The sequence below is a fragment of the Homo sapiens genome, chromosome 16 (genome assembly GCF_000001405.40).
Source record: "Homo sapiens chromosome 16, GRCh38.p14 Primary Assembly".
Classification (NCBI taxonomy): domain Eukaryota; kingdom Metazoa; phylum Chordata; class Mammalia; order Primates; family Hominidae; genus Homo; species Homo sapiens.
In genome coordinates, this window is record NC_000016.10 from 35,384,055 (window position 1) to 35,398,492 (window position 14,438).

General features: G+C 44.3%; 1 long non-coding RNA gene and 2 pseudogenes across 2 annotated transcripts in view; 1 reads left to right on the forward strand and 2 right to left on the reverse strand.

Annotated features, from left to right (window-relative positions):
- The window catches only part of LINC01566 (long intergenic non-protein coding RNA 1566), a 28,298-nt gene extending 20,639 nt beyond the window's left edge, over window positions 1-7,659 (forward strand). Inside the window, exons 6-7 of one of the 2 annotated variants that reach the window (NR_027080.2) lie at window positions 1,825-1,995; window positions 7,253-7,659. This is a non-coding gene — a long non-coding RNA (long intergenic non-protein coding RNA 1566). Of the gene's footprint in view, window positions 1-1,824; window positions 1,996-5,648; window positions 6,534-7,252 lie in introns of those variants that run through there. The other variant, NR_027079.2, reaches the window with a different exon arrangement.
- FRG2GP (FSHD region gene 2 family member G, pseudogene) lies at window positions 90-1,032 on the reverse strand (annotated as a pseudogene).
- Window positions 5,071-5,980, reverse strand: AGGF1P4 (angiogenic factor with G-patch and FHA domains 1 pseudogene 4; annotated as a pseudogene).
- Window positions 7,660-14,438: the final 6,779 nt, after the last annotated feature.

The following is a 14,438-nucleotide window of genomic DNA, read 5'->3' on the forward strand; positions in this document are numbered from 1 at the left end:
ATTCTCTGCTGAATAGGGTGAATAGGATCATTGTCCATGTTTTAACTGTTTAATCTTCCACATTGAAACATTGGGTTCAATGTGCACCCAGCTCAAGCCTCATCTAATCCACTGACAGGCTCAGTTATTTCCTGCCCAGGCAAGGGGTGGTCTTCTCTATCCAGAGCTGAATTCTCAGGGCCAGGCAGTGTGGCTGAAACAAGCCACTTCTTAGCAGGGAAGACACAACCTGCCTGGGTGGTCATGGCATAGAAGGTCTGCTCCTGGGCACAAAGAGGCCCCAGAGCCAGGCAAGCTGAGTGAGTTTCTCCCAGGTCAGTGGAAAATGGACCTGCTGAACCAACACCTGGGGATAGATTTTGATAAGTGGACTTTGACACACATTGCAAGGTCACAAAGCTTTCCGAAGTGATGACTATTGAACTCCTCGGGCCCAATAACTGTGCCACTTGCTACACCTAGTGTAAACTATGAAAGGCCCTCCGTGGTGGGCATCACAGGTCTCCTGTGATTTTCCCTCACCTAGCAGTGCTGTTTCTGGCTTTGAGCTTAATTATCTCAGAATTCTTCTCTTCATTTAGATTGGGCTCTGATCCTCGTGCAACATGGAGTTTAGGTGACTTGCTTCTCCCAGGCACAGAGTCCCATAGTCTATCTCTGACAAATATTTCTGGATCAGTCTTTCAAGTGAAGCTCTTCTGCCAATGTCATGAGTGAACACATTTCTCAAAGCCTCCTCAGGGACCTAAGCCATTTCCCGTTCCTAATTTTGAAATAAAACCCCACTAAAGACACATAGCTCAGTATTCCTGATTCCAACCCTCCTTGGAGACTTCATAGGAACAGCGCAAGGCCTTACCCTGCCTTTCCATGTGTTTCTCACTGGAGTGGCAGGACGGGGGTCTTGCCTTTTTCTTTGAGTGGTTTCTTCTCATCTTAGCCCTTTTCTGTAAAGGAGATCTGTTTGAAAGAAGGCTGGTCAGTGGGACAGTGGATGGAGGAGTAGTGGGGGATCAGAGTCTTCATTTCTTTTTCTCTCATTCAAACTCAAATGAAAGCTGCTCTCTCTCACACGTCCTGATTCACAGTGTGAGTTATTCTCCTAGACCTGCCTTTTATATGTCCCTCAGCTGGGCGTGGCTTACTCTTATTGGCTGAACAGTTTTATTTTTCCTTCCTCATTAGGGCCTCAATAAGATAAGTTTAATGCTGTAATTTTATTAGGGACCTAAACACAGTTAATGGGAGACACTTTCTGGGTCTTGCCATAGTGTCAAAAACAAAAACTAAAAAAGTCAGGGGCACAGAAATCAGATGATAGGGGAATCATTTTTTCTAATTTCTGTCCCAATTCCTACCTGGAAGTATTTTGATACTGCTTATTTTTCAAGATGCAGAATTAAACATATCTATATTGAACTGTTTTATACATTTTGCAAAGGAAGAGCATTATACGTAGTGTTAAAATCATGTACATAGATATAATTTTTCAAATGCTTGGAAATGTCAAATTAAAATTATGGTTGATTGTATTAGATAAATACATATTTGATAAAATAAAAAGTGGAGAAAAAGTAAATACCAAATAAAATGGCTATTTCTACGTTAACAAGGGGGAAGATAATTAGATCAAATTGAATTGAATTGAATTGAATTGGTTAGATTAGAGCTGACAGTAATTTAATCAGCCTGTGATTCCTGAGGCAGCAAAAAGTCTAGGTGGAGAGAGAAACTTTCCCCCTTTGTCACCCTTCCTCAAAGCTCTACTTTGTTTTTTAGAATTTATTCAGCCTCTCTAGTAAAACTGGACTTGGTCCCAAACAGGTAACACAACTGACCAGAAGAAAAACAGCCTAGATCCTGAGCATTCAGCCTGTGTCTTCACACAACAAACACCACCTGAGTCCCATCAAAGCCTGTGTTGTTTCCCAACATCCACCATTGAGACATATTCCAGAGCAGCCTCTCAAAATCACCTAAACAAGATGGAACAAGGTATGATGGAGCTTCCAGGCTCAGGACAGCTGCCTCATTCCTTCCTACTAAGAAATCTGTATCTGCTGGTTAGAGCTATCAAACTGTAGAAGACTTAGTTCATGTCCCAGCAAGTGTCCCCTAAAATGACCTTCTTGTTTTTCCCTCTTCTGAGAAAAGCATGCAGGAATAAGAACTTCTATGGTAGAGAGTACTTGCTCTTCCGCTCTCAGATGGCTTGGTTGACTGATGAACTGATGCCCTGAGGAGGGGAAAGATCCAGGGAAGAGCCTGTGCTGGGTGACTCTGTGTTTTCCCAGCTGTGCTGTTTGTGTGCAAATAGTGGAACCCCCAAGAAATCAGGTGATAGACAGACAGACACTGCCTAATAAAATTGTCTGAATTTAAATAGGATTTAAATGGAACTTATAATATCATTATATATTGATACTATAATATTATATATAATTTATTTGATATATAAACAAATTTTGAATATATGTTATAATATCTTAAGCAGTCATTTACACAAGAGCAGATAATATTCTTAGATTCTATTAAGTTTATAAGTTAATGTTGTTATAAAATTTAACACAATTTTCTTATAAATTACCTAACAAAATTTTAATGTTATTATAATATCATAGTAATACATATGAATTGTGATACCTTAATATATTGTGATGTCATAATACATATGAATTGATATCAAAATATATTGTGCTGTCATAATACATACAAATTATGATATCATAAAATATTGTGATGTCATGATACATACAAATTATGGTGTCATGTACATTGTGATGTCATGATACATACAAATTATGGTATTATAATATATTGTGATGTCATAACACATATGTGATATCATATTTATTTATTTTTATGATATAATAACGTAAAATTTTGTCAGTTAATTTTATAAGAAAATTGAGTTAAATTGTGTAACAACATTAACATATAAAGAAGCTTAGAGTCACGGTGAAAGATGAAAGAGGAGCAGGCATCTCACATGGTAGGAATGGGAACAGGAAAGATGGGGGAGGGATAGGTCTCACTTTTAAACCAACCAATCTCGTGAGTACTCACCATGACAAACACAGCACAACGCCATGAGGAATCCATCCCCATGCTTCAACCACCTCCCATCAGGCCCACTTGTAACATTAGGGATTAAAGTTTAATATGAGATTGGAGGGGACATCTCAACTATATCATATGACCATTAGAAAAACAGATGAAACACTCATGGTTTCTACTGTCCAGATACTTTCATTCCAGAGCAAATGGCTAAATGATTGAATTCAACATTCTGTGGTCAGAAGAGAGAAGGGAGGGGTACAGGGGACTTTGGTTACATTTGTTCCACTTCCCTTATGTTGTTGTTGTGAGATCTGATGTCACCACCTGAAGTGCAATTCACAGACAGAAGAATTATTGTTATTGTTGTGATTATTCCTATTTCTTTTACCTCAGTAAAAATAATTTTTTAGCTTCCCATTTAATTGTCCTAAAACACCCTAAGTGTTTTTTTTTTAATTCCTTGTTATTGTGTGTTATAAAAATTGACAGGGAAATGGCTAAAATAGATTAAATTATACAAACTCTAGAAGTCAAGTTTTTACAGGGCAGGCTTAAGAAAGACAGAACTAGAAATACTGCACCAGCATAGACATCAGCCACATGGGACCCACTTTCTGTCCCAGCCCTACCCAGATCCACCCTCTTCTAAGGCCTCATCTGAATTGGGCTTCACTCTAGAATCTCCTCTCACAGAACTAATTAAAGGAGATCAGAAAATTGAGTGGTGGTTCCTGCTGCCTCTCCTGAGCTACAGCCCACAATTTCCTGAAAATAAAAAGCAGATGGCCAGGCGCGGTAGCTCATGCCTGTAATCCCAGCCCTTTGGGAGGCCGAGGCGGGTGGATCACAAGGTCAGGAGATCAAGACCATCCTGGCTAACACAGTGAAACCCCGTCTCTACTAAAAACACAAAAAGTTAGCCGGTCACGGTGGCGGGCACCTGTAGTCCCAGCTACTCAGGAAGCTGAGGCAGGAGAATGGCATGAACCCGGAAGGCGGAGTTTGCAGTGAGCCGAGATTGCGCCACTGCACTCCAGCCTGGGTGATAGAGCGAGACTCCATCTCAAAAAAAAAAAAAAAAAAAAAAAAAAAAGCAGATAAATGGGAGCAAATAATTATACATTTCTGGGTCACAATTTTTTTTCACTGAAGCCAGTGCTTCTAGAGAAATCCCACCTAGCAACCTGCAGTTTATTTCTGCAGATCCAGTAGTTGCTCTACAAGGCACAAGAAAGTCAACATAAATACCAAAAAAATCCTTCTGAGCAGTTCACCCTTTCTTTCTGTATCCCTCTGAGCTACACAGCTTTTATTCTACACATTTTCTTTATAGGTAAATTATTTTAAAACTAAAAGAAAACATAGAAATGCTGGGCCATTCAATCCGGGGAATTACAGAATGTTTAGTACCCAACTTCTAGGAAGCTATAAGGATGAACTCACCATGTGATGTTTCCAGCACAGCTGTGTAACATACTTCTGAATACATAGTACATGCTCAATAAACATTGTATTAACTCATGTATACATGTTTTTCAAATGCAGGCCTACTCTAATGTTCTCTAGCATCTGTAAACTTTAAAGAGCCAGCAGAGAATAACATGCTTGTTAATAGTGATTGGTGATTTCCACTTTGGGCCAAAAGTATTTATGTTGTGGTAACAGTGTTGGGTGTCAGGAACTCTGTGTCCTGTGACTACTTTCTCTAGCTGAGTGCTACTACAATGGATGTACTGGGAGAAGCATCAGCATTAAGAGAAAACTTTTTAAAGAAGCCAATTCCTGGACCCCTTCCAAACCTGCAGAATTACATTACTAAGAGAGTAATGTAATCAGAGAGGAATCAGAAATGATTTATATGTACATTGAAACTTAAGAGGCAAGGCTTAGCTAAGTGTCTCTCAGCCTAGGCGTCCAACCATAATCACATGACTACTTTAAAAAAATACCATCACCTGTGCTCTCCCCACAGATTCTGTCAGTTAATCTTCATTGGAACAACCATATGGTTTTTGTTAAAATAAAATAAATAAGAGTTTCCAAACTCTATTTTTTTAAAGCTTGAGTTTTCTTCTATGATTAACCTCACTCTACAGTCCCTTTTACCCAAGGTGTGGTCCCTAGGTCTTCTCTTTAAGGTTTCATTTCTGGGAAGTTTTCAGCAAACCTATCTCATGCTTTGTCACAGTTTGTTTGCTTTTGTTTTGGAAAATGTGAACATCTTCAATTGAGTATGGATTGCATGTCCCCACGCCTAATGTGTTCACTGAGGCTGAAGTTGAAGCTGAATTGGAGTTTTCATTCCCCGCCATCCTTTCCCAGACCCTCTCTTTTTTTCTAATCCATCTTCTCCAACATCTTCTGACCTTTGTTGCTGTCAGTAGTTTCAGAAGAAACAGATGCAGGAGCATCATCTTTTTGAAAGTTGTTTAACTTCCAATCTGCTCCATATGTTTTCCAGCTCTATCTTTATATTTTAGATTCTTCCATGTCTATTCATCTTCATAGTCTGTATTCTGAAACCATATTTTACTCGTATTTTCTTTAATTATTTTCTTATTCCCAACTCTTTTTTTCTCCTTACTCAGTGTTGGACCAGTAAACAATTCATCTTTCTTATCAAGGCAAAGGTGAGCTCTACCATGCCGTGGCTCGCAGCCATCACAAGTATCGCTGCCAGGGTGAATGTGAAAGGGTAACACAGTCTCTCCAATTTTCACTTCATGTCTATGCTCAAGGACATAAGGGTCACATTTAGTTTGCAGCTGAACCATCTGTTTTCCATGAACAATTGTTCCATTTTGACTGCCTTTATCTACAAGGACATAACTTCGTTAAGTCATGGTCAAAATAAATTTCTGCATGAAATTTACTGACTCCAACTTCAGGATTCAAACAGTATGCTCCAAATCATTTTCTCAGGTGATAGACAGACAGACACTGAATTGTTGACCTATCCAATAATCAATCAATGCATTACACAAAATAATAGGATAAAGGAAAGTAACAGAAAGATCCTTTCAACAGACACAGTGAGCATTTGACCAATTCAATATTCCTTCACAATTAGTCTCCCTGGAAAGGAGGAGTATAAGGAAACTTCCTAGATCTGCTGAAGGGCATCAATGAAAAACTTACAGCTAACCCCATAATAATAAAATACTGGTTGTTGTGTCATGACATTTGAGAACAAGAGGAAAAGGTTAACATCCAAAGAAATTACATAAGAAAAATAAACACAGTCCTCCATGTGGGAAAATAAGAGGTTAGAAATGTCTATCATTGTAGATAACATAACTTGAATATAAAAATTTACAAGAAATTCATTAAAACCCACTAAAACCAATAAATGAGTTCAGCATGGTCACAATATATAAAATCAATATACAAAGTTCAATTGTATTTTATATACTACCATGACCAACCTGAAAATAAAATTAAGAAAACAATTCCATTTGTATATGTATGAAAAAGAAAGAGTAGATTTAGGAGTAGATTAGGAGTAGATTTAGGAGTAGATTAGGAGTAGATTTAGGAGTAGATTTAGGGGTAGATTAGGAGTAGATTTAATCAAGTGCAGTTTTACACTGGAAAAAAACTTTTTAAAAATAAATTTTTAAAAAACTGAAAAAAATAGGCTTCATTGTTCATTTAGTTAATATTCTGTTATCAAGTGTGTCCATTTCAACTCCACGCAATAAGATAAACATATTTTAGCATTATTTTTATTGTAATAAATACAGGTTGGTAGAAAACTGATAAATATAAAAGGAACTAATTCTACGTGTCCCAAGTATGTAGGGTCCAGCCCTACAGGGCCTGTGGGCTTTTCTCTTCCTGTGCGGAGACAAGAGATCGTAGAAATAAAGACACAAGACAAACAGAAGAAAAGACAGCTGGGCCCGTAGGACCACTACCACCAACGCGCGGAGACTGGTAGTGGCCCTGAATGCCCGGTCGCGCCGTTATTTATCGTATACAAGGCAAGAGGGAAGGGTAAGGAGTGTGAGTTGTCTCCAATGATAGGTAAGGTCACGTGAGTCACGTGTCCACCGGACAGGGGGCCCTTCCTTATTTGGTAGCCGAGGCGGAGAGAGGGGACAGCTTAGGACATATTCATTATTTCTTTTATGTATTTCTCGGAGAGATCAAATACTTTAATACTTTCACTAATTCTGCTACTGCTTTCTAGAAGGTGGAGCCAGACGTACAGGGCGGAACATGAAAGTGGACCAGGAGCGTGACCGCTGAAGCACAGCACCACAGGAAGAGGTTTAGGCCTCTGGATGACTGCGGGCGGGCCTGACTCATGTCAGGCCTTCCACAAGAAGTGGTGGAGCAGAGTCTTCCCCAACTCTCCCAGGGAAAGGGAGACTCCCTTTGCCGGTCTGCTAAGTAACCGGTGCCTTCCCAGGCACTGGCGTTACCGCTAGACCAAGGAGCCCTCTAGTGGCCATGTCTGGGCATAACTGAGGGCTCACACTCTTCTGGTCACTTATCACCCTTCAGCTCCTATCTCTGTATGGCCTGGTCTTTCCTAGGTTATAATTGTAGAACGGACATTATTATAATATTGGAATAAAGAGTAATGCTACAAACTAATAATAATAATATTCATATATAATCATATCTATATTCTATTTCTAGTATGACTATTCTTATTCTCTATATTTTCTTTATTATACTGGAACAACTTGTGCTTTCTATCTCTTGGCTCAGCACCTGGGTGGCTTGCTGCCCACAAGAATAGCCCATCCTAATTTTTTGTTTTACATCTACTATAAATCAAATAGATTTTGTTCCATATTTTATAGTGGAATTTAAGATGAAACCCACATTGTTAAATATGTGAGATTGATTATAAGCTCATCAAGGAGGTTTTTACTCAGTGAGGGAATTCAGAGAACATAAAGTTGCAAAGGCAGAAGCAAATGTTTTGAATGAATTTTGAGAGACAATACTAACAGAAGTGCTTCCCACTTTTATGACTCATATGACTCATATGATCTTTCTGTAGGAAAAACTGCCTCTAATTGTAGACACTGGTTCATAGCAGATGCTAAATGAACCAGCACCAAGTTTATATCCAGGAGAGCTGATCAAGAGGATTTTGTCTCCTGGCTGATGACATGATACTGTCTTTCATAGGCTACTCCAAATATTCTATGATGATGGTAGAGTTTAGTGAAGTGGAGCCCCGGGCCTGCCATCCCCATGCTCCTGGCAAGCAATAGCATCTCCCCTCAGCACAGTGACATAGGGCATGCCATTGTCACCCACCTTGCTGCTGTTTACCTCCACATACTAAGTTGCCGTGTGCTTTGCAGTGGAACTCCACCTTGCTGGGTCTGGTTGGCCAGAAGCCTGTGGGTAGAAAGGTATGGTCAGGAGAGCACATTGAGAGAATGAATGGGGCCTCAGAGGCTGCCCACCTTCCTGCCCCCTGCCCATGTGTCACAGCCCTCACCCAGATGCCCAGCATGCATGTCTACTGAGGGCTGCTGAACTTGTTCTCCATCACAGAGGTGAGCGACAGCAGTCTGAGGGTGCCACACTTCATGACCAGGCTCTATTGCTGGTGCCACAGCTCCAGGTGGAAGTGCAGATAAATGGAAGACAGGTCCCACCTTCCACATTCAGGCCACACTCTCACCAACTTCCAGGGCCACCTCGATGTCCTGATGTGATGCTCTCCTTAGAACTGTTGTGGTTTTTCAGCCAGGAGATGGAAAGAGTGGGGTTGCCAGTAGCCAGGCAGTGAAAGTTAGTTAGCGTGGCCAGCATGGTAGGCAATTTCCTGTCCATCCACTGGGGCCAAGTCCAGTTAGGGGCCTCTGCTGGTGGAAGTTCATGTGAAGGCCATAGCTGAGGTGAGGAGCAGAGGCCCTTCTGACCAGACCCCCAATTCAAGGCCGCCCCTGCCCACCCCAAGCTTCAGTTTTCCCTCCTGTATAGAGAGCTTTTTGGCCTTTCAAGGGCCTCTTCCTGGGCTGCATGAGGCTCCCAGGAACTTCAACATGATGTCCCCACCCAGTCATGCTCAGAGCTGGGCCATGTGTCCCCTCCCATTTCCTCTGCTTCCCCCAAGTGGCTGCTCCTGCTGAGAAGTCAGGGTGCTTCGTCCAGGCCTGAAAGCCTCAGGGAATAATGGAGTCTCCTGGGGAGTCCTCACCTGCCCAGGGTGGCACATTCAGAAGGCTCACCAGGAAAGAGGCCGGGCAAGTAGCCCAGCTAAGTGAATGAGCCAGGACAGGCATTGGGAGCGGTTTACCAGGAGGGGAAATCCAGCCCCTTGAAGGACTGGGAGCCTCAGAAGCAGCTGAGAAGCCTTGGCCCGCAAGCCTCTGTGCCCCTAAGCCACCCCCGCAGAGCTTCACGGCCTGGCATGCACAGGTGAAGATGGCCTCCTGGAGGCATCAGCTCTTTTTTGTCCTAGTGTCCAGGGCTGTCACCATTCCCTCCCTTACACCTCAATGAGTTTTCTTCTTTTTGGGGGCTGGGGTTGGGCTGCCTTCCTGCATGGACTCATGGGTAGGCTGGATTGCCTTATCCCCCAGGAGAGAGGCACCAGGGGCCCAGGAAGGAGAAAGGAGGGAGCTCCTTTCCCACGGTGACCTCCTCACCATTCACGTGCAGCAATAGGCCTACTTCTTGGAGGAGGATGCTTAGGCACAGGCAGGAGCAGTGTAGAGAGATACTGGGAAGAGGCAACCCTCACAGCTCTGAGCTGCCCTCCAGGCCTCCAGGGGTGGTGAAAGGAAGCCCCTGGGTTATGAAGACAGCTCACTGGGCTGTGGCAGAGGCTGTTCCCATGACTAGGAGATGACTATGACAACGCTGCCCACTTCTAGACTGTGCCTTCTGAAAGTGGCCCTTCAGTTACCCCCACAGCTCAAGCCCACACCTGCCTGGAATGGCCAGGTAGGCAGAGGCAAGCAGAGACTCAGGGTGAGGGTCCTAGGGTATGTGGGCAAAGGCAGAGGCCAATGGGGCAGGTGAGCAGAAATTTTCGTCCTCTTCCTGGGTCTGCTCCTCTCCTGAGGTCTACTTTCCTCTGCCTCTGTCTCCCTGGCTGATTCTTCCTCACTTTCTTGCCTGCTCACCCCAGAGGTCCCAAGGGCTCAGCCCACCACCATTGGTCCCCAGTTTGTAGCTGCCCCTTCCATGTCCATCCCATGAGGACCCTCATCTGTATGAGCACATCTCTGGGCTCCTCTGAAACCAGAAGCCCCAGCTGCCTGACAGACCCCTCCACCCTCCGCTGTCCCAAGTCAGAATATCTGGGCATTGTCCCCCTGTCTGCTCTCTCACACCCACAGCTCATTCCCCAAAAATGCTGTTGGCACCCCTTTCACAGCCCCCAGAGCCACCTTCCTCTCTTGCTGGGCTGTAGCTTTCATCTCCTGATGTCTTAACCCCTCTGTCCATCTGTCCCACAGCAGCCACCTGAGTCCCTGCCAACTGCTGTGCTCACACCTGCAGTAGCCACCTCACCCAGAGCCAACATCAAAGTCCCCACAGGCCAGTCCTGACCTCCTCACTGCTCCTTGAACCCCAGTGGCCTGTGCCTTAATCTCACCCCTCTGCATCATGGGGGTCTCCTCCCACCCTCAGCTGGCCACCCAGAGCCTAGGACAAAGCATCCAGGGCCATCTGGATGGCCCAGCCACACCTCCATCCTGAGGGAATGCCAACCATTGAGTGACCCCAGTAAGGTCATCCCCAGGCCTCAGTCCCTCCCCTGCCACTTGAGGACAGGGCTAGTTGGGAGGGAAGCAGGCCCCACTCCTGGTCAATCAGTGTGCCTGGAATCTGGTCTCGCCAGTGTCTTAGCTTGGTCCTCCCATCTTCTTCACCTCCTGAAGATGGAGCATCTGCAGTGCAGGAGAGGGTGGGAGTGGGCAGTGGCCCCAGGACGGCCCACATCCAGATGCCTGCTGCTTCTCAGCTGGGGGCAGAGGCTTTCTGTCTGGAACTCAGTCTTTGATCTGCCCCAGGAGAACCCCAGGTGCACCTCACAGGTAGGGCTGGAACCCCTTTTTCAGGCATTATGTCCTGGGGTGATTTCCTATTTACCAATGATCAGGGAGACCCTCAGAGGAGGGGTGCTGGAGACACAGCTCCTGAGAACCCCAGCAGCTCCTGGCCATGCACCCACTCAGGGAACTCAGTGGCCCTGACCCCTTCCATCCAGCCTCATGCAGCCCCAAGGCACTCATGGCCAGGCGCGTGGCTCACACCTACAATCTCAGCACTTTGGGAGGCTGAAGCCGTGGCTTGCTTGAGCCCAAGAGTTCAAGACCAGCCTGGGTAACATGACGAAACCCTCTCTCTGCAAAAAATTTATTAAAATTAGCTGGCCATAGCCAGGCGTGGTGGCTCATGCCTGTAATCCCAGCACTTTGGGAGGCCGAGGCGGGCGGATCACGAGGTCAGGAGATTGAGACCATCCTGGCTAATACGGTGAAACCCCGTCTCTATTAAAAATACAAAAAAATTAGCCAGGCGTGGTGGTGGGCACTTGTAGTCCCAGCTACTCAGGAGGCTGAGGCAGGAGAATGGCGTGAACCAGGGAGGCGGAGCTTGCAGTGATCCGAGATCACACCACTGCACTCCAGCCAAGACGACAGAGCGAGACTCTGTCTCAAAAAAAAAAAAAAAAAATTAGCTGTCCATGGTGGTACATGCCTGTAGTCCCAGCTAGAAGGCTTAGGTGGAAGGATCACTTGAGCCCAGTAGGTCAAGGCTTCAGTGAGCCATGACTGTGCCCCTGCACTCCAGCCTGAGTGACAGAGTGAGACCATGTCTCAAAAGAAAAAAAAGCACTCACCTGTCACATAGACAATGAAAGGGCACTGCATGCATGGGGTGAGCCCTGACAGCTATAGGTCCCAGTGTCCTGCTCGGAGGCATCCAGCACTCACAGCTGCAGAGGCCCCACAAAGATGTGATCCAGAAAACCAGTCCTGTGCCATTGTTGAACAAGAGAGTGGCTTCATCAAACCAAGTGCTGAAGATGACCAACTGCTCTTGTTGGCTGGACTCAGGCCTGCATTTCTGCAAGTCAGGTGGGTGACTGGGAGGCAGGTACCCCAAAACCTAGCACAGTGAAGCTCAAAAGCCCCATGGGAGGCAAAGTGACACTCCCGCTTTATTGACACATCAGCATGCGTCTGACACTTAGGAGGTGCTCAATAAACAGTAGTAGATGAATGAATGGTCATTAGTTTGGACAGTATAATTTTGTCTATGGTACTCCAAGAGAACACTGATACGGTAGTCCCCCATTATCGGCTGTTTTGCTTTCTGTGGTCTCAGTTACCTGCAGTCTGAAAATACTATATAGATATTTCAAGAAGTAAACAACTCAAATTTTAAATTGCTCACCAATTCTGAGTAGCTTGATGAAGTCTCCCACCCTCCCAGGATGTGAATCATCTCTTTGTCCAGTATTTTCACACTGTACCCACTACCTGCTGATTAGTCACTTTAGTAGCTGTCTCAGTTATCAGATCGACTGCTGTGTTATCATAGTGCATGGGTTCAATGAACGCTTATTTTGCTTCATGATGATTCCAAAGCACAGAGTAATTCAGATATGCCAAAGAAAAGCCATAAAGTGCTTTTATTAAAATGAAAACCCAAAACTTCTCAACTTAATGAGGAAAGAAAAACAATCTTGTAGGTTGAGGTTGGTAATGTCTATTGTAAGAACAAATCTTGTAAGAACAAGATTGTAAGAACAAATTGTGAAATTGTGAAGCAGCAAAAAGAAATTTGTCCATAGTATATGTAAGGTGTAGTACTATCCTTGGTTTCAGCCATTCAGTGGGGGAGTCTTGGAACATACATAGTCCCTGCAGACAGGAGGGGATACTGTACTTGACTTTCTTAGTTTCATCTGTTGTCAACAGTAGAAAAATACAGCTATGGACAAAATGTTTATTGTCTCACTTGGAAGCAAACTTTGTGAGACTGAGTGGGCTTCTATTTATTGAACAAGCAAAAAGAAGCAGCCTTGCATGTGGGGGAAAACCTGCTCGTGCCACTGTCTCCGTGGGTCTACAGCTGCCACCTCCTCCCTGCCCCTCATCCTGTCAAGGGCCTGGGGTAGACAGAACACAACCCACACACTGCTCAGAGCCTTTGGGACATACCTAGAGCCACTAGTTTAACATAAAAACCCAATAAGGCTGAAGTGAGAGTCAGTTGGCTACTAAACTGGAGAAATGTGTGGAAGAGTGAGGACTGTCTCAGGGCCTTTGTATATCTCTGAAGGTTTTGTTGGAGTGGCTGAACTGATGTCCCATCAGTACTGAGGATATTAATAATAACACCAAAGATATTAATAATAATACCAATAGTAATTCATGCCAGCTACCCAGCGTGTGCCAGGGCTTGCATTCATTTCACAAGTGTGACTTGCACTGCACTGAGGACTGACCTCACCCAGACCAGATGCAGCAGGTCTCCTTCTAGGTCACACAGGTGCCATGCTCCAAAGCCCTACCAACCTCATCACCACGCTTGCATTTCTACAGCATCATGCCTTTTCCCATTTGGGAATTTCCGTGCCCTGGGTCTTGGTGTCAGTGCTAAAATGACCCAGAGGGAGGAGTGTGTCAGTACTTCTGAGAATGGCCAGGCACCACCAAGTTTCCTGACCCATGCTCTTAGGAAAATGCTAGATCACTTGAATGTTCTCTGAAAGCCTGTTCTCCCATTCTTTCCTATCTCAGTAAGGAGCCCCACCACATCTCTGGAAATTCTCCTGACTTGACTAACTTGTACAGTAGTCTTGAAGACCCTTTTCCCTTTCATGCAACAAATCAACAGGTTCTATAGTCTCGTGCTCAAACATATCCCCAATCCACCTGCTTCATTCTGATTCCACATCACCCCGTCTAAGCCACCATCACTTTCACCTGACCTGTGACAAAAGGCTCCTTGTTTTCATATTTGTCCTCTTTAGAATGCATTCTCCATGAAGCAACTGAAAAAAACTTTTGAACATCTGAATCTGATCATGTCTCTTGCTTAAAACCCTCCAATGACTTCTCACCACATAGGGAATAAAATCACAGTCAGGTTTATATGTCTCACCAAGACTCTGTGAGTTCAGCTCCTCCCCTTGCTTTCTGTGCCCCCTCCCCCATGCCACTGGTCTGTGGTTTCTCAAACTCAAACTGTTGACTCTCATTTCAGAACCCTTGCTCAATAGAATTCTCTGCCTGGAATTTTATTCCCAGAATCTTTGCATGTCATTCCCTCTGTTGCTAGGTTACCGAAATCTCAATGTAAGTGTTACGTCATGACAGAGGCTTCTGTGAGAGCTGAATTGTGTGCTTTCCAAAATTCATATGTTGACACTGTCACCC